This window comes from Homo sapiens, chromosome 6, assembly GCF_000001405.40.
Source record: "Homo sapiens chromosome 6, GRCh38.p14 Primary Assembly".
In the NCBI taxonomy this organism is placed as follows: Eukaryota; Metazoa; Chordata; class Mammalia; order Primates; family Hominidae; genus Homo; species Homo sapiens.
The window spans coordinates 84,428,885-84,449,075 of NC_000006.12; the positions used below are offsets into that span (position 1 = coordinate 84,428,885).

General features: G+C 38.2%; 2 long non-coding RNA genes and 1 pseudogene across 3 annotated transcripts in view; 1 reads left to right on the forward strand and 2 right to left on the reverse strand.

The window, feature by feature from the left end:
• LOC107986620 (uncharacterized) overlaps positions 1 to 20,191 on the forward strand; it is a 175,866-nt gene that overhangs the window by 76,093 nt on the left and 79,582 nt on the right. The gene's annotated exons all lie outside the window — the stretch shown is intronic.
• The window catches only part of LINC01611 (long intergenic non-protein coding RNA 1611), a 53,902-nt gene that overhangs the window by 7,857 nt on the left and 25,854 nt on the right, over positions 1 to 20,191 (reverse strand). The window contains exon 4 of the long non-coding RNA NR_132100.1: positions 15,503 to 15,567. This is a non-coding gene — a long non-coding RNA (long intergenic non-protein coding RNA 1611). The remainder of the gene's footprint in view (positions 1 to 15,502; positions 15,568 to 20,191) is intronic.
• Positions 630 to 2,008, reverse strand: SMARCE1P2 (SMARCE1 pseudogene 2; annotated as a pseudogene).

The following is a 20,191-nucleotide window of genomic DNA, read 5'->3' on the forward strand; positions in this document are numbered from 1 at the left end:
TATTTTATTCCTTAAGATTTGTTTCTTTGCATTCTTAAAAGGGCTCTCTTTACCTCAAAATCAGAAAAATATTCTTCTGCCTTTCCTTTGTTTTTTAAGTACTTAACTTTTTGATGCATCTGTTTTTTATTTCAGTTTAAGGTACTGGGGAGAAAATCGACATTTTTTTTTCCAAAGAGCTAACTGTTTCTGTACCATTTTTAATAATCCCACCTTTCTGTAAAGATTAGAGATATTACCTTAGCCTATAATAAAGCCTTATATCCACTGGAGCCTATTTCAGACCTTTCCATTCTATCCCACTGGAATTTATTTAACTACTAGAGCCACCTGTTTCTTCAAAACACCTTAAGATATTGTAGGGCTGGTCTACCTCATCATTTTTTCTATTTTGTTTTTACTCTTTTAAAATATTGTATTGGATTTGATTTTCAAATTACTATGTTAACACATGTGTCTTAGAATAAATTAAACAGTAGAGCATGGTGTATATATAAAGTTAATAACTTCTCTCTCTCTAGTCCCATCACCAAGGCTTATAGTGTGGTGAATACATTTTTACACTTTTCTCTGTGTTCTTTCTTATGAGCAAATAATAATAATACATGATAGTAAGGAGAATTTCTTTTACCATTGAAACTAAAAACCATTTTTTCACTTAAAAAAGTATTTAGAACACATAAAACAAGGCAGCATTTACTCTTTTTTCTCATCTTCTAGTATGGGATCTCTTGGTGGCCCCTCCACTGTTGCACCATTTCTCTCTGAGCCAATGTTACTGTCACTGGTTCCTTCCTCTGCCATACTGTCGACCCTCTCCTGCCCACTCTCCTTGTCCTCAGTAGATTTGCCTTCTTCACCGTTCTGTTGGCTCTGTTGTTTCTTCAAGGCGTGTCTCCTCTGTCTCTATTGGAATGTTCTCATTGTCTTTTTTTTCCTCGCCTTTGTTGGCCACTGGCTCTTCCTCAGGAATGATGCTGCTCTCACTGCACTAAACTTGCTCTGCTGCCTCCTTCTCCCTTTCCTCCTGCCTTTTGTGGGTCTGTTCCTCTGCCTGTGCCATCTCAGCTACAATTTTCTCCAGATCCATTTCTATCTTCAGACCACACAACCTTTTAAGTTCATTGTTAAATGAATCTGTGCTTTCCAGGAATTTCGCCTTCTCCTGGTGTCGATCCTCTTTTGGAAGAAGTTCAGCTTCTAGTTTTCGCTGATGAACCATTAAGGACTGGACCTGTTGTTTGGGGACCTGCATTCTAGTTGTTGTGACAACTGACTGAACCTCTGGTACCACACTCTCACTAAGGATTTCACTGATGAGGCGGCGGTTTCTCTGGAAACGGACGGTGGCTGTATCTTCATTGAAAAGCCATCATCATAATCAACTGATCTTCAGCAGAGAAGGCTCGTGTAAGGTTCTCCTTTCTCCATGTGAGACTGTTTGGGTTGACTGTCTTCCTCTAAAGCAGCTTCTGCAAGACTTTTTGCATTTATGTAAGCGAGGTACACGGGGGAATTATGATGGGCGTTCATAGATTCATTGTACTCTATCTTTTCTACTTCATATTCGTTTAAATATTGTTTCTCTTCATCAGCAAGATCTTGCCACATGCCAGCAATAATCTTGCCAATTTCCCACAACTTTACGTCAGGGTTGGAAGCCTTTACTTGGTCCCAGACCTTTCTGCTGTACCTCATGTAGGGCATCAGCGGCTTATCTGGTGGCTTTGGGGGTTTTGGAATCGTAATACTGGAGGACCCCCTGACCCGGCTGTTGGTGGCTGGGTTCCCTCCCAGCCTGTAGTTGCTGTAGGCAAGATGACAGTATGGATTGTATCCTGCAAACGCTGGTGTGCTGGGCATCTGTGTTGCAGAAGCTGGGGTGGGAGATGGGGCATAAGATGGTCTTTTTGGCATTTTGGAAGATTAAATTCTCAGTTCCTTAAGAATGAATCTGAGACACCGCAGGTAGACAAAGCGCTGGCAGCTCCGGCTTCGCTTTTCTTTGTCCCATGCACGCCCCCACTAATGAGAATATTTATCGAGAGCAAGACATTGTTCTAAGCACCCTACCTGAATGATTTCCTTTACTTTTTATCATAAACATATGAAGTAGATATTATTGTCATCATCAATACGCAGATGAGCAAACTGAATCGCTGGTAGTCTAAATAACCTACCCACGTCACATACTGTAGTTAGTAAGTGGTGGGACCCAGATTAAATCCAAGCAGACAGGTTCCAGAGCCTGAGCTTTAGAACCTGTCTGCTTATCTATCAAATGTCTTTGATAGACATTTAGACTGTCCTTATTTCTTGACCACCCTCCAACAATGCTGCTATTAGCATTTCTGTATACAAATTCTTTCATACCGGTAATTTTATTTCTGGCCTATAGTTTCTCAGAAATGATATTGCTGGATCTTAGGGCACATGATTTTATTTAATAGACATGACCAGATTAGTTTTCACAATGGATACACTAATGAATACTCCCACATATGAAATGTTCTCACAAACCCTCTTTTTGCTCTTTCTTCCATATTGAAGCCCCAGCATGTGCCCAGCGTTGTTCTCAGCACTGGGATGTGAAGGTGGTCAAAGCAGATGTGGGTCCTGCTCTTGAGGGGCCACAGCTTTCGCTCACACAAGATATCATTCTCTTTCTCCATTCCTCCGAAGCACCACAAGCAAACACAACAGAGAGTACCCCACAGGGAACAACTTAAAGATGAACACAAAATGACTAACTATTTTCTTAACCTGCCCTGTCCTTCCACACCACTACCTACACAATCCTCCCTTCACTCGGACCATTCTCTCTCCTGAGTCAGTCATCTGCCACATTTCCAGGACCTCTGATCTTACAAATCTCCAGGAAGGACTTTCCAAACGAAGGATGATTTACCTTTCTGTTTCCTGTTTTTCCTCTCAGGCCCCACCCAGGGAACCTCCTTTGAACAACAATAAGAACATCAGCAAGTGTAGACCATGGCCTGCCTGCCTTTCCTTCCCTCCCTCCCTCCGTCCCTCCCTCCCTTCCTTCCTTCCCTCCTTCCTTCCTTCCTTCCTTCCATCCTTCCTTCCTTTCTTCCTTCCCTCCCTCCCTCCCTCCCTCCCTCCCTCCCAGTCTCTTCTTCTTCTGCAGGCTTATCTCCCATAATTTCTTCTTTTATTTTGGTTCTTGCGACAAAGTGTTAATTATCTTTTGATTTGTCTCTCTCCATCCTCCCAGCTATCTGAGGGCAGGAACATTTCTCAATCATCTTTGAACCCTAGAACTACAATACAACAAATGTTTTTCCTGAGTGAATGGTGGATGGATGGATAGATTAATATCCACTATCTTCCCTAACCACCCCATGAAACCAACTTTCATGATATTGAAATGGAAAAGCTATGATTGAATTCTATATGTTTATTTATTACATCACATCAAAGAATAAAGAATGTGCTAAAATAAATTAGTGCACTTAATAACCTAGCCAGCCGCGCCTCTTTTCACTGACCTATTGACAGGGAAATCCATTATGTCCGTCCCACCTGAGATATTATATCCCTGCATTATTGGTTCAGACAGTATGATTCAGTTGAGACTTGTCAATGCTTTTGTTAGTGAGGAGGCTTCTCCAAGCACTGCTGATTTGAAAGGATTAATCCTTGAAAGAAATTGGACTAAGCCTTACAAAAAATAATGGATAGTCTTGAAAAAACCTTTGCCTGGAGAATGACTTTTCTCTGCCATACAATGCAAGGAAGTAAGTGTACTGTAATCTCATAACTTGCAGTATTTTCATCACATCTGATATTTCTACTTGTTTATCTTCTCTTTATCCTCAGAGAGACAGTGCTGCTTAGTGTTTAAGACCAAGAATTCACAAGCAGGACTGCTGGGTTTAAATCCCAGCTTACTATCTTGGGAAAGATGTTTCAACCAGCTGCCTAAGTTGCACAATTTCAGGGAGTGCCCTACACATAGAACACAACATAGGATGATGCATGTAGAGCATTATAGGCCATTTAAACCTAGCAAGTAGCATTCATTAAATAAGCAAATGTTAACACTACTGTCTTCCTAGCACCCCTATTAATAGACATTTTTAGCATCATCTCAAAGGTGGATATATTATGTTGCAAAAAGATTAAGTGTCTTGTTCAAAGTTAAACAGAAGTGACAAATGGGCTGCTGACTTCCCAATCTCCAGACTCGTAGGCTGAGGCATTTATTTCCACCTTCATTATTATTAGCACCCCCTCTCCAATAATGTGTGACATGTTTTATTTTATTGTTGTTTTTGCTTGTTCATTTTCAGCTTTCCCAGATATGGCTTTAAATCTGGGCATGGCATACGAATTTGCAATGACCCATACCAAAATAAAATCAGCTACTACCACGGCAAAATACTAATTTGGGATCCTGTTGCTGGTTACTACCATATTCAACATTAAACTGTCCTAGCTCCCAGTTACCAGCCTCACCCTCTTCCACATACCTTTTCAATGCCTTATGTTTTTACTAGATTATAAGTCCCTTGAGGACAGGGACTGTGCCTTATTCATTTTTTAATCCCACCCAAGGATTTACATAGTGTTTCATATAAAGTAGATACTCAATAAATGTTTGCTATATAAAATAAATAGGAGCTTATTATCTAAAAAAAATCTACAAATCCATTATTTCCTGCTCTCAATTTAAGGATAGAGTCTGTCTGACTCTATAAAGAGGGCATTTTCATGATAAGGTAGTATTTGAGGAGCTAATAAAGAAATTTCTTTATTCAGGAAACATTGGTATGAACTATAGTCACTTTAAATGTGCTGAAATTTTTAGTTGAGGTTTCTAAAAAACTAACAAAGTTTTAAGGTGATTGCAAAATCCAGTTATCATCTTGAAAGATGAGCAATATTTACATTAATTAAGCTTTAGCATTGGCAGAAGGGAGGAAAGCCTGGTAATTTTGGAAAAGGAAGTGTGTATTTTTGTTGAAAAATAAAAATATAATAATTGTTATGATAAATTAGTCTTTCTTTGAATTCATGCTGCTAATGAAGCCTATCATATTAAATTATCAAGGTAAGTGAAAACCCAATTCATGTCTCAGAATAATAGCTAGGATTAGGATGCATTATGTCATGCATTCCAGTCAAAATTTTAATAACCCAAATTAATTTAAATTAAAATCTATAAATCTACTAATGTCACAACTTTTGCATATATGAGGCTATATTTCAAGAAGAAACTACTTTTTTAACTGACTTGTCTCATAGATAAACCATTTGGTCATAAAAGAATAGGTAAAAGAAATCTTATTTTTGAGATTAAAAATACATATCATTCTTAATTAAGAATATTATGCATGCATTAAAATGCCCAAATGCATTGAGTTATTTCTGATAGCTGCCTTTATGAATGCATTTATTACTACAAAAGGTTTGCATATTTCCTCTTTTTATATCAATGTGTTTCCCATGCAAGTCAGTAGACATTATCTTTAGACAGTCATTGATTCTTGCAATTTCTCTTTAATGCTAAATCCTACAAGCTATTGGGAATAAATAATCATGCCTATTTCTTGGCATGAAAATGTCAATTTCACCAAATATTCAATTTTACTTCTATTATTAGCAGATTTTCTTTGTGAGTAAAAAGGTAGCTTCACTGTCTTCTCAACTTCAGCTGCATCCCAGCTGTGTTTATTAAACGGAGATTTCGTATTGTCTGGCCTTTTGTTTTCTGTTCCATCACTTTTCCCATCTGGCTTTCCCCCATATATCCTAGAGAACATATCCGTATTTTTACTGACAGTAGTGTGTATACACAGACAGACACACACACACGCACACACATGTATCTTTCCCTGATGATAGCAGTTAACATTCCTTTAAAAGCTTACATTTCACCTCTGTTCCCCTGTTCACATCTCAACTACATGAAATTGGGTGATTTGAAACAATTTAAGCAGCTTCTCACTCAAATATAATTTCTTATGACTTGTGATGGTTTTGAATTCTTGACAACCATTTTCTATGCCAGTAAGAGCCCCTGTAAAGGAAGGATTGTTAAGAATTACAAGCACAGAGGCAGTGCCTTAAAGAACAAAGAAGACATATTTTACTTCAAGAAGAATAAAATGGATTTTCACAGTCATTTGCCAAGATTTCCCTCCTTTCCCAGGTGGAAATAGGATGGCGGTGGAGAAAACATACCCCAACATTTGAGGGGAAATGCAGCCCAGGAGTTTTCCTTGGTTGGGCATTCTTTTTTTTTAGAAATGCAAAGATATTCACTTCCTAATTTTTCTGCCACTGTCATTAATGTTTGGAATCCTATTTTCTTTTAAGTTTCTCCAATTGAGAGGATAAATCACATTTTCTCTTTGTATATCATCCTGAAAGTCAAGTTTAGTCAAAGGTAAGGAAAGAACTTTGATTCATTTGTGCAAGCAAGATAGGTTTACACAAAATATTTCATGGAATTTTAAAATTATTGGTTTATCTTTCATTTTTCAGAATTATACAATCTTTCTTTAAAAGTTGTTGAATAGAAAATGGCCATGTATTTGTGAAAAGTTATATGAACAAATCTATTCCAAAAAATAACTATTAATTCCAAATTTAAACATATAATTTGTTTTTATTTTTACATTTGCAAATCACATAAAATAATAGTGGTCCTTAGTATAGTGCAGTGGTTAAGAGACTGAAAGCAGATGGTCTGGGTTCAAATCCTAGTCCTGCCACTTTTCAGTTGCTTTGTTTTGGACAGATTATTCAACCTTTCTGTGTCTCATGTTCCTTTTCTGAAAAAGAAGCTAGTAACAGTCCCTCCCCTACACGGTTGATTTAAGGATTAAATCAGTTAACCCAGGTTAATATCTTAGAACAATGGCTCACACAAAGTAATTTTCTGTCATTGTACATTGCTATTAGTAGTTATTGGTAGTTCTTCTTACAGCATTTATCAATCTGGTTGCATGGATTATATAGGTCAAGGGCATATATATATATATATATATATATATATATATATATATATATATATATATATATATGTCTGGCAAAAGAAAATTTCTGATCCAAGATGCATTTACTGAATACCAAGTATGTGTTCATCACTGTGAGACAGAGAGACAAATAACTTTCTTATTTAGAAATTAAAACAAGCTTTAGGTAGCTATAGATTTCCTGAATAATAGCAAATAAGGAAATAAAAATCCAAGAAGCAGAGCAAATGATAAAAATGTGTCTTTGTACACTTCTCAAAAGAAGATATTTATGTGGCCAAGAAATATGTAAAAAAGCTCATCATCACTGGTCATTAGAGAAATGCAAATCAAAACCACAATGAGATACCATCTCACGCCAGTTAGAATGGTGATTATTAAAAAGTGAGGAAACGACAGATGCTGGAGAGGATGTGGAGAAATAGGAATGCTTTTACACTGTTGGTGGGAGTGTAAATTAGTTCAATCATTGTGGAAGACAGTGTGGAGATTCCTCAAGGATATAGAACTAGAAATACCATTTGACCCAGCAATCCCATTATTGGGTATATACCCTAGGGATTATGAATCATGCTGCTATAAAGACACATGCACATGTATGTTTATTGCGGCACTATTTACAACAGCAAAGACTTGGAACCAAGCCAAATGCCCATCAATGATAGACTGGATAAAGAAACTGTGGCACATATATACCATGGAATACTATGCAGCCATAAAAAAGAATGAGTTCATGTCCTTTGCAGGGACATGGATGAAGCTGGAAGCCATCATTCTCAGCAAACTAACACAGGAACAGAAAACCAAACACCACTTGTTCTTACTTATAAGTGAGAGTTGAATAATGAGAACACATGGACACAGGGAGGGGAACATCACACACCGAGGCCTGTCAGGGGGTGGGGGCCAAGGGGAGGGAGAGCATTAGGATAAACACCTAATGCATGTAGGGCTTAAAACATAGATGATGGGTTGACAGGTGCAGCAAACTACCATGGCACATGTATACCTATGTAACAAACCTGCACATTCTGCGCACATATCCCAGAACTTAAAGTAAAATAAAAAAAAAAGGAAAAAAAAAGTGTCTTTGTAGACCAAAAACAAGAAAGCAACTAAATTATCCTGAAGAGTGAAAGAAATGAAACAAATACTGTGCTCATAACACTATCATTGGTTAGGCTAATAATATGAGCAAAAGCAGCACTTTAATTGGTAATAGGAGAAGTGAGCTATTTCGAAGAAATGCAAAAAGGCAAAGTGATAGAACAATATTCAGCAGAGAAATTTTTTTTTGAGGAGGGGGAAAGGGCTCTGTAGATAGAGAGCTTCATTTGGACAGACTTCTTTGGCTTGAGTTTAGAACTCTTCCTGCCATCTTTGACATATTTCAGATTTAACTGTCAGCCCTAAGCACTGCCCCTCTTGGTACAGGACTCTCCCTGACTCACCCATGCCTGTCTTTTAAGGAGGGGGACATCCCTAATGGAGTAGAAGCCGGGCTGCTAGTAGGTGGACTTGCTAATGGAAACTACTGTTTAGTGAGCAGAGTAGCAGAGAGCCAGTGGCAAAGAGAAGAGAAAGCAGCTTCCTTGGTTATAGAGAAGCACTGTGGGGTCCCATTTCAGGTTTCCATTTGTTCATCACTTTGTACCATATCATTTGCATTTGTTGAGCCTCAGTTTTCTCATACGTAAGATGTATATATTTAATCAAGAATCCTAAACTATTCAGCGTTCCCATTTCTGAAAATCCATCTTTAGAAATCAATTATCATATCAATGGCTGGCCTCTAGTCACTAAGGAAAGTCTAAGTATCTTCTGTTCATTTATGTTACAAATAATAACTGAATGCTGGCTGACTCCCAAGAATGTTACCAAAACTATCTGTGGAGAAGAGAAAGCTTAGTTTATTGCTAACCATGTTAGGATAGCAGTATGTAAGGCTCACTAGCATCTCAGAGAGATGGAGTCTCCTGTCACCCAGGCTGGAGTGCAGTGGCGCAATCTTGGCTTACTGCAACCTCCACCTCCTGGGTTCAAGCGATTCTCCTACCTCAGCCCCCTGAGTAGCTGGGATTACAGGTGCCCGCCATGACGCCTGGCTAATTTTTGTATTTTTAATAGAGACGGGGTTTTGCCATGTTGGCCAGGCTGGTCTCGAACTCTGACCTCAAGTGATCCACCCGCCTCAGCCTCCCAAAGTGCTGGGATTACAGGTGTGAGACACTGCGCCTGGCCAAAGTTGAAATCTTTATAGACTTTTTGAAGTCAGATTTAAGGTGAAGCTTTCAGTGTGGGAGGTGGAGGTTTGTTAGTACTGGATAAGGATTATAATATAGGCTTGGTGGATAGAGCAAGGAGAGGATTTTGAACCAAGAGGTTCAAACTGACAATTTGCCAGTCTTCCAGAGGTTTCTTACTGGAGCTATCACCATAGGCTCTTGATCCAATACCTACCTCTCCCTCTCAATGGCTGACCTGATTTTCTACTTTACTGGGACCAGGTCATCACTAGGCATATGTTCTTTAAATATTTTTTCTTCAACAAAAAGTCCTTGATTTCATCTATTCTTTCCTCTGCTCTTAGAGAAGAATGCATTCCTCCTTTTAAAACCCTATCTATACTATAGTCTTGTTCTTGTCCTCATAGCCATTCATCTATTACTTATCAGTTCCTATCATTCATCTATTACTTACCAGTTATCAAGTAATAGCCATTCATCTATTATTTATCAGTTTTTCCTCACATGCTAACCATCTCACTTCTCACTGATTCCTTTCCCTTGGCCCTCAAACATAATTATGTGTCTTTAAGTACAAAATAATATCTACTAGGTCTGTGGGCTTCTAGCCATGGTTTCCTGTTCTTCTCTTCTGTATGGGTTTCTATCCCTTGCTTCCTTGAAAACTCCTGACAGACCAGGAAAAAAGCAGTCTGTCTTGAACCTCCAAATCCCTCTGAATGTAACATCCTCTCACTCCGCATTTCTTCTGTTCTCCACCAAGACCGTAGAAAATATAGCAAATGCTGCTTGTCTCCACTTTCTCATTCCCATTTACTTTGAATTTCATTGTAATCTAGATGCCTTGGAAAGGCTACAAATGATTTTCTAAGTGCCTATTTCAAGGGATAGTTTAAATTCCTAATCTTTGTGGCATTTGATACTGGTGATCACTCTCTTTTCATTGAAAAGCATATTTCTTTAGCTTCTGACATTACTCCTTCTTAGTTCTGACTTCTGAAACCTCTTTCTCTCTCAGATTGATTCTTCCTCCCACATCTGCTCTTTAACTGTTAACTGTTGTTTGAACTTTTGTCCTTGTTTCCTTTTATCATACTATCTGGTCCCAGAGTAACTTCATCCCTAGGCATGACTTCCATTATCATGTATCCATGAATAATCCCCTAAATCTAAAGTTTCAAGCATGGCCTTCTCCTTAGTTTCTAATACTGAAACACTCAGTTATCTTGGATCTAAAGTACTATTTCCAAAATGAATTTATTATCTTTTTAATGAAAGCTCTTCCTTCTCTTCTATCCTTGGCTGTATTAAGGGAATCTTATCCATTTTGTCCAGTGTTTTCCCAACTTCCCAGATGATAAGTACCACCCCCAGCCCTTGTTATATAATCGGACTACCAGGCCTCTTGCCTGGAAAATCTGATGTAGTTGTCTGCAGTGGGAAGTTTGGGAGGCACTAATGGGACTGAGCATCATTCTTGTTCTCTCCATCTATGTCACTCCTCCCTCACCCATTTTGTTACTGGGATATGCCCATTGTTGTGTGTCTATTGAGAAACGGTCAAACCACACCATTCTTCTCCATCCTCACTGTTACTGCTTTAGTTTTGGCCTTCATGAACAGTTTAGTGCCTTCAGTTTAATCCCCTATAATCCCATCCCCACCAGTCTCTGGGATGCTTATCTTATATTTCTCCTTGGGTAGGAGCCTTCAAGGGATCCCTAGTTCAAGAAGAGTGAAGTCCAAGTCTTTAGTCAAGTCTGTCAATGGTTACTCTCTGCTTATTCTCCAAACCCAAACCTTCTATTTTCATTTCACTAAACATCCATAAGTTCTTTATCAGGCCATATTCTTTCTCACCCATGCTACCTCTTCCTGAAACACAATCCCTCATGCTAGCTTCTTTTTATTGTGAAACCAGTTGTCCTTGAGACCAAATTCAAATACATTAAAACGTATTTACTTGAAATACAATTAAGTAAACAGTGATTTTTGTCTGACAATTCCTCATGAAACTTCTTCATTAGTTTAATGCTGGATGCAACTTTTCGTGCTCTTGACAAGGGAGTGGTGTTTCACTGAAGAAATATAGATAATTGTAGCTCAAATTTTAGCCTCAGATAGGCTTGAGGTCAATTCCCATTATTTCCATTCAATGACTCTATGATTTTGGGAAAGCTCTTTAAACTGCCTAAGCTTCAAGTTCTCATCTGTAAATATAGAGATGATAATAATGAGACTAAATATCATAGTGGAAGAAAGAAATGTGTTGAGCCCAGTTCCTGCCACAAGTGGGGCTCCAGAATTTTCATATATGGTGATAATTTATAGCCCATATCAGAACTCTTTTGAGAATGAAAGAGGATGATATTAATAATTTTTCTAGGAGACAATTGTAAACCAATGCTGCCCCATGACAAAGGACACATGGTTACCCTATATATAGAAGGGACTTTGGGTTCACACTTTCCTTGGAAGGGGGATGGTAGCTAAAGGGCTTCAAATTATGTTGGCAATTCTATTTTTACCTATACTTTATGTTTTGGGGTGGGGTTTGGGCAAACTAAAGACTCACTTTGTACCACCTTTCTTGGCATATGGTAGGTAGCACAATATCCTTAGTCTTTATAGTGATTGACCTAGGAACTTGCCTTGGCCATGCCTGTTTCTATTTTCACTTTAAGCCTATACTTTGAGGTCCTGCCTCAGACTTTAGCCTTTCCACTCTCTTAGTCTCTCTGGATTGGACGTTGAGCTGCTGGATTTTTTTGTAGGGGATATCTATTGTTCTTTAGGGACTGGAAATGGGGCCTCACCTACTCTGTCTTCTGGGGTGAGAGATCTGGCTGAGGCTGTTTCTCAGTTTTTCGGTCTTCAGTAAGCAAGGGAGGGCCCATTCTACATGTCTGGCTGCTAGGGCTTCCTCTCACCTAGCAGGTAGATGTTCTGGGGCTACTGATGAAGTGACTTAACCCCTTGCAATTTTCCATGGTATTCACAAATGATGGACATTTGTAGTGCTCTCCTGGAACTTTCTAATACCAGGGAGAATTCATGCCCCATCATTCACAGCCCAGCTTCACACCTATGCTGGCTCAATGGCTTACCAATTGAGGGAAGATAAATTGCAAGTCCTCAGCCTAGTCATTCTCAATCTTGTTTTGAGAGGGCAAGACATATAGGGGAGGTGGGAGGTCCTTGTTTCTCCCTCCCACTCCACTACTCTGTATTAGGGACCCTCCTCGCATGCTGTCACAAAACCTTTTGCTTCCCAGTAACGCATCCCCCATATGATTTCGAGTAACTGTGCCTTTTCTTTTTTTCTTTAAAAAATTATTTTATCCCATGAGCTATTCTTTTGGATGCCTTTTCTTGTCTGTCTCACTCACCAATCTCTAAGCTTCTTGAAGGCAAAATGTATTTCTTATTTTTCTTTTCACTTCCAGAATGTGGCACAATGACTGGCATTTATGGATTCTCGAAAAATGTTTAAATGGATGACTAATTATTATGTGCGAACAACTCTGAGGAATGTTATACTTTTGGTCATACCTCAAACCAGCACCCTGGTGAGCTAAGCTCCTATCCTGTAATCTGGGATACGTCATTAGCATGGTGAAAAGTCTAAGTTGACTTTGACCTTCATTTTTTTTTTTTTGTTTCTAAGCCACTTTTACTTCTGAGCTTCATCTGGAGAGAAGTCCAGTTCAGCATACCTGCCAACAAGAGGCTCTGTAAGAACAATGTCAGGGTAGCCAGGCCTTGGGGCTTCTCACCTGCCTTGAGAGGGAAACCCTCCAGGAGCAAATGGCAGAGGCCCTTCTTTTCTGGTATGACCTGTAACTCTACAGACTCAAGAGAATTCATGACACTGGCCAAGGGGATGACTGACACAGCTGGAGAGTGACTCGGGCTCAGCAAACCCACTTATGAAATGATATTTTGGCTTTTATTTGGAATGATCCTATTTTCATTTCAATTGTTTGTCACATTGTCCATCACTGCAAATGACCAAGGCTGGGTGCAAATCAGAAGTTTCATAAATACACGCTAAATGACCTATGCATGTCTTGACCCTTCTCTTCCTTATACATATGCACATTTAGTGCATAAACACCATATGGCACTCTATTTTCAGTCACTCCTTATGTCTATACACCCATGAAAAATTTATCCATTTTATATTGTTCTCCAGTTACCAAACTAGATGCTACAGAATTTCAGATTCATCGAGTGCAGTCACAGACCTCAGAGAACAAATAGTTCTGGTGAGAGGTGCAGACAAATGAACAGAATGAATAATGAAATAGAGATCATTGATTCCAGATGACGGAATCAAGGAGTTCGCAGCTGCCATGTGCCAAAATTGCACCACTGCACTCCAGCCTGGGCAACAGAGCAAGACCTTATCTCAAAAAAAAAAAAAAAGGGGAAAACAAAAGAAAAACAAAGGTTGAAAGATGTACTATAAAGCACATGAGAAGGGTGGAGCTAACCAGCCCACTTGGAGGGCAAGCGGTGGTGGTAGAGATATTAGGGGGGACTTAACTGGCAAAAACACACTGAACTGAAGCTTTGGAATGAACAGGAATTAGGAGGAGGGTGCTTGGAAAAGGGAAGAGCATTTCTGGCAGGAGGACAGCATGAGAAAATCCATAGGAGAAGCACGGCATTGTGTTTAAAGGAATGGGAAGTGATTGAGTGTTACTAGAGCCTCTTGTTCCAGCTAGAGGAGGGAAGGGGTAAAGCTAAGGAGCAGGGCAGGGTCAGACACAGTCCTCTCTGTGTTGGGGAGTCATTTAAGAATGACTTTCCATTTTGCAAAGAATGGTTTGCAAAAATGGAGCACTATTATCTGAGAGGAGAGGGATGGAATACAGAAATACAAGCTTGCTTAGATGAAGAGGTGAGAGGAAGGTGACAGCTGATTCCTAGATGTCCAGTCCTGGTGACAGGTTAACTGGTGTGAGAGTGAAACAGCACAATGGTTAAAAGCATGGCCTCTGGAGCCAGATAGCTTGAGTTCAAATCTCAGCTTTGCCACTGCTAACTGTCTGTCTTTGGGAAGGTTGCTTAACCTCTCTGTGCCATTGTTTCTTCATAGGATGGTGATAATAATAATATGTACTTCTTAAGATTGCTGCGAGGATCAAATGAGTAAATATGTGGAAAGTGCGTTGAATCATGCCTGATGCATAGAAAGTACTATAGAAGTGTTTATCACTTTTATTATAGGAAAGATTCTTTGAAAGGGGAAGAAGTTGAATTCAGTTTTAGACATGTTAATATTGAGAATCCACATGACAATATCCAGTAGTATTTGGCTGGATATGTTCGTCCAGAGTTCCAGGGAAAGGTCTTGACTAGAGAAGTAGATATTTTGTTAATTTCAGCATATAAATAAGTCTGATTAAAAACATGAGAGTGGATAGAATCCCGCAGGGAACAGGAGGAGAGTAAGGGGAGTAGGCCAAGGATGGAACAGAGAGTTCTCCAAGATTCCTTAGTATCTTTTGGGAATGTTTGGGAATGGGTAGACACCATAATCATTAAGAAAGCCTGCTTCTCACCTCCTGCTTAAAATGTTATTTTTCTTTCTAGAAAAATTAGTGATCTTACAGTGATTATTTACAAACCTGAATTTTGTTATTGGAAGGATTTCAATAAGAGAAACTAGCAGATAAAGAAAATGCAATCTTGAAATAAATGATGTAGATAGAGTTGGAGAAGCGTTCCTAGTAGGTTAACCAGGAAATGAGAAAGCCAGCTCTTGAAAATGAAGAAGCAGAAACTCAGGGGGAATGAAAATGAAGGGACTAGAATCACTCTAGGAGGCACCTGCTGGCTGTGGGGAGAAGTCAGAACCATGAGCAAAGTCAGGAGAATTTGAAGTGCAACTGGAGTCAGTGGGGAGACTCAGGTTAGCAACACAACACTATGGTGACTAGGTTTTCTAAACCAAGTCTGGGACACGGTATGACACAGGGCAAATGTTTAAAATCACAACTGTGGCCAAAATCTAGGAAAGATGCTGGCCATTCCCTTCCTGGAATGTGCAGTGCCTTGAACTACCTTCAGGTATCCTGAAAAAAGGCAAAGCTACCATAGGTGGCATGTTACAGACAAGTTATAAGCAGGGTGACCAGGGAAAGAAGTGACAGGTGGGAGAAGCTGGCATTTCAGTTGTGTTTAACAATAAGTAAGCGAGTTGACTTGGGGCTGCCTCTAATCTTCCCTCCCTAGAGCCCTTACCTTCAGTGGTCCGGTGGCATATCCTGGTGTCCTCATCCCTTCAGGAGTAATTTTGAGCAGTGGAACTGCAGGAGAGAACACAAATTTATTTTTCTTATATACAGAACTTCTCTCTGTGTGCTGTCAATATAGCTTTTTACTAAGCACTAAATCGACCAGCAAAACATTAGTTAAAGCTTGAATTCCAACATTGTGGCTTGGAAAAAATGGAGGTGGGTAACTCAGGCCCCAAATAAAGAGACCAAACTCTAAGTAGCATCAGTGATTACGTGTGTATTTACATCTATGCTTCTGAGGAGGTAAGTAATCCATACACTTCCTGCAGCTGGCGACTTCATGTTATATCATTAGGAATAGAAATAGTGTTTTGCTATGGGGCAGTTATAAAATAAAATGAACTCTTCTTCCGCAAATATTCTACTGTTGGCCAATCAGTCCCATCTCTCCCTCTCTCTCTCTCTCTCTCTCTCTCTCACACACACACACACACACACACTCACAATTGCAGTCACTTAAATTTTAAAGTCTTTTTGAATGGGAAAGTGAGTAACTCAAGTACTTTTTATCAGGTTTTCTGCCATTAAAGTGCTAGAAGCTAGCAAAGGTGAAAGGAAGAGCTGGCTCAAATCATCCAGGGCTTCGTTAAGCTATAGCTTGCTGAGGACAATTTCTTTTGGGTCCACCTTCCCCAAGAAAATGCCAGTTTCTTTTTCACCAACATATCTAAAGAAACCAATAGTAACCTTTGATGTGTCTCCCTGGGCTCTTGAACAAGCATTTAATTGAGAGCTTCTTAATTGGTAAGTGCTCAGATCTGAGTATGTCACCTGGGCCACTGAGGCCTCCATGCCTTGGTAGCACAATTCTTTGCAAATAAACAAAGCTTTGAGTTCCTGGAGAAAAATGCAGCTTACACAGCACTTAGGAACACTCAAAAGGCCTCTGTTCCCTCTCCATACTAATGTGGTTTCACAAGAAGACCAAGATTATTTTATTGCCCCAGGATGCCAGGAAATTTTCATTTGGCTCCCTCAGATCTTTGGGATAAAAGTGGGACAGTAAGGAAAAGAATTCCCTTTGCTGTCTTAGATTTCTGTTCTCCAAGAAAATAAGTTTTTTAAGATCAGATATTCTCGTTTATTTTTAGCTTTGGTGACTGTATTATTTTACATCCCCCAGTTTCATTTTTTTTTCAACGGAATATCTCCCCCTCTACTTCTTCCTGTTTTGGATCATTTCATGGGATTCTACTTTTGGCTAAAATACAGGTAGTATCTTTCACACATTATAGGCTTATTGACTTCATGTTCCCTCAACTTAATGGAAATGAAGAACCCAAGTATTCCCTACTTAGAAACTATAATCACAACTAAAAACTAACAAAGTAAATATACTTTCTAGTACACCCTTAAACAGTACATACTAGAAGTTTGTGAGGTGTGAGCTGTAAGAATAAGGTTGAATTTATCCATTGGATAGCTTATAAACAAGTGCTTCTCTGATCACCCTTCATAACATTGCACTCTCCCTGCCTCCATCACATTTCCTCTTCTTAATTTTTCCTCATAGCATGCAACACTTAACATAGTATTTGCTTATTTATTTCTCTGTCTCTAACCACTAGAATGGAATTTACATAAAATTAAGGGTTGGATTTTATTTCTGCTGTACTTCTGGCATTCACGAACTATATGGCAAATGAATGAATTTGTGTATTTGAAGAAACTAAAAGCTGACTTTAAACCTTAAACCAGTTTCAAAAACTCTATTATTCCATTTCTTAAGCTCTCATCTTAAATAATTCTGGCTCAGATTTGTAATAAAATATTTCATCAATTCTAGAAGCAATGAGAAAGAAGAAAGAAACCTGTAACCTTACTCTTATTACTGAAGTGAGGGAAAGGAATCTCTCTCTCCCTCTTTCACAGAGAGCTCTAGTGTTCAGATTCTCACACACATGGACTTAGTTCTTTGTATTTTCATATCCTGGCACCAGGTGCTTAGCTTTTTTCCCAAGTTTTCCTGTAATTCTGCAAGAATTATCTGGCTTGAGAAATTTATCTATTAAATGGTCTTCCAAAATACATCAGCAGTTGGCAAAATCAGAATCCAAAGCTCTCTACCAGTTATGAAATTTGAAATGTTATAAACATTCCCAAAATGGGAAAGAAAAAATATAACTTGCCACTTTGAATTCATTTGGGAAGCAAATGGGGTGTAAATAATAAATCACAATAAAATTAACATATATGTACATGTTTCATATGTATGTTAATTATATATAAGTTCACTAAATGTTTATATATAAATATATAATTATAAATATATATGTAAATTCACACCCATTTTTCTCCTAGGTTATTCAGTATTTCTTTTCCTCTTCAGCTATTCTCCAAATGCTCAAATGAAAGATTTACTTGCATACTGAATAAACATGTTCTATATGGAATATGCATAATAAATATTATTAAAAAGGAAAGTTATGCTAATCTGATTTCCTCCGGATTGCTCTCAAAGCTTTTCTATATGCTTTTTACCATAAATTTAATAAACCACTTTCTTGACTTTGAAAGTTTGCTCCTCAAATATTTGAATTTTATTAGTTTTTCATTATGTGCTAGGCAGCTCCATACAGATTGTGTAACTTGATGCTCACAACTAACTTGTGAGGTAGACACAACACAGAATCTGGGATTCTGAAATTTCGAGAAATTAAGTTACATACCCAAAGTCACACAGAGAGCAAGGCACAGATCCAGGATTCAAATCCAGGTCATCCTGGCTTTAAATCCTGTGCCTCTTCCTCCTGTATATTACACCTAGCATCTGACTTCTTACATAATCACACATTTGTTTCTCATCCTATTGAGGCCTGGGGAAGCACCAGATGACTAGAAAACCTAGATTAGTTAAGACAGCGCTGACCTGGAAGAGAAGTTATTCTTTGTAGAGTTTGGTTTTCTTACCTGTAGAATGAACATGGAGGATTTTAAGGCCTCTTTTAGTCCTAATATTCTACGGTAAAACAATGGTCTTAATTGGAGTCAATTAAAATAAAATATGATTTTAAAATATTAAGTGTCTCAGTGTTAGAAATTATATTCCAAATTTACATTATTCAAAAAGGAGAAATATGTAAAAACAATAACTATTAAAAAGTCTTTGTATAAAGTATAGTTATACATTTAAATCTGGATTAAATTTTTTAAATTTTATTCATATAAAGTTGGGACAGTAACAACCATAAAATGCTTTATTAAAAAAAAAAATGACTAGATTCTCCTGATTTTTACCATTTCCTGAAAGGCACAGAGAAACTCCCAGGCCTGGCTTTAGAAAAGGTGGCCAACACAGTTGCTTCCAAGAAGGGGCAAGTCATGCCTGATGTGATACATTCTCAAATGCAAGCACAGCTCTAGAATCTGGGGGCTGCACATGGAGTCTGCAAGGCCACCTCCTGGTATCCATTTTGTTCTCTAAGGTTTGACAAACAACTGCCCCTCCCCCAACTCCCGACACTTTCAAACTGGTGAAGAGGGCATTGTGTCTTATTTAAAATGAAACGGACTGTTCCAACACCTTCCCGATAATTAATCTATGGTAAAATGTAGGTTTAATACCACAGTCTCATTTTCATGTTGAGGCTAATGTTCTCTGACCTGAAGTTTTGCCTTTCCCTCTGAATGGTCTCGATTATTTTTAATGTCGTTTGACTGCCCTGCTGTTCTATAAATCACATTGGTGCTTTCTTCCTTTTAATCATGCTTATATACACTACAATATTTTCCACTAAATATAGACATACTCTTTATAGCTTCTTAAAGTACTAACAATCTCTTAAAGCACTAGTAACCCAATACAAACGTCTAAGAGCATTATAGTAAGCCAAGTTAAAAAAAAAGTTAAAACACTTTTTTGAGTACATTTTCTTTGAGAATGTTACTATTTTTGTCTAGTGGAGGTTTCATTTTTGAGGAGGATGATGGAAGAAAAATCTCAACAGACTTTTACCATTAACATAACTTTAAAGAGACAATATATAGTATAAGAAATGAGAAAAACAAGAGACCCGTTTTATTGGCAAGATACGTAAATTAGTATCTCAATTTGCCAAGACAGCACTGACATTGTGAAATCTGACATTCAGAATTGCTAAGATCTCAACACACTACTCATATGTTGTTTAAAGATGATCCTTGCTTTCAAAAAACATCTCCCCAAATCATACTTTCCATCCAGAAATTCTGCTATCTAAACATTCCAGAGACTTTCAAATGGAAATAGTCTCCATAATGCAATATTTGTGGGGGCTGGGTGAGGCCAAAATCTCAGGGGAAAAATGTCCTTTAGAATCTTTATCAAAGTGAGTAAGACTTCAGAAGGAAAATCCCCATGCATTTGTTGTTAAAATCAGTTCATACTCATCTAAATATTTTAATGAAATAATCTTAAGTCAGGATGCAGCATTTATTTTATCATTTGAAGAATTAAATCCAGAATAAAAGTCAGAACCTTTCACTGAACAGGTGAACAAAGTATACCTGAGACAAATAATCCCATCTACTGAATATAGCGTACAATTTCTAATGTAGTTAGTAAAGTAAAATTACATACAAAAAAATACAAAATACAATAGTTAGCACATTAAATATTTTAATAATAGTTTCATTTTAAAATTACAGTAAATGG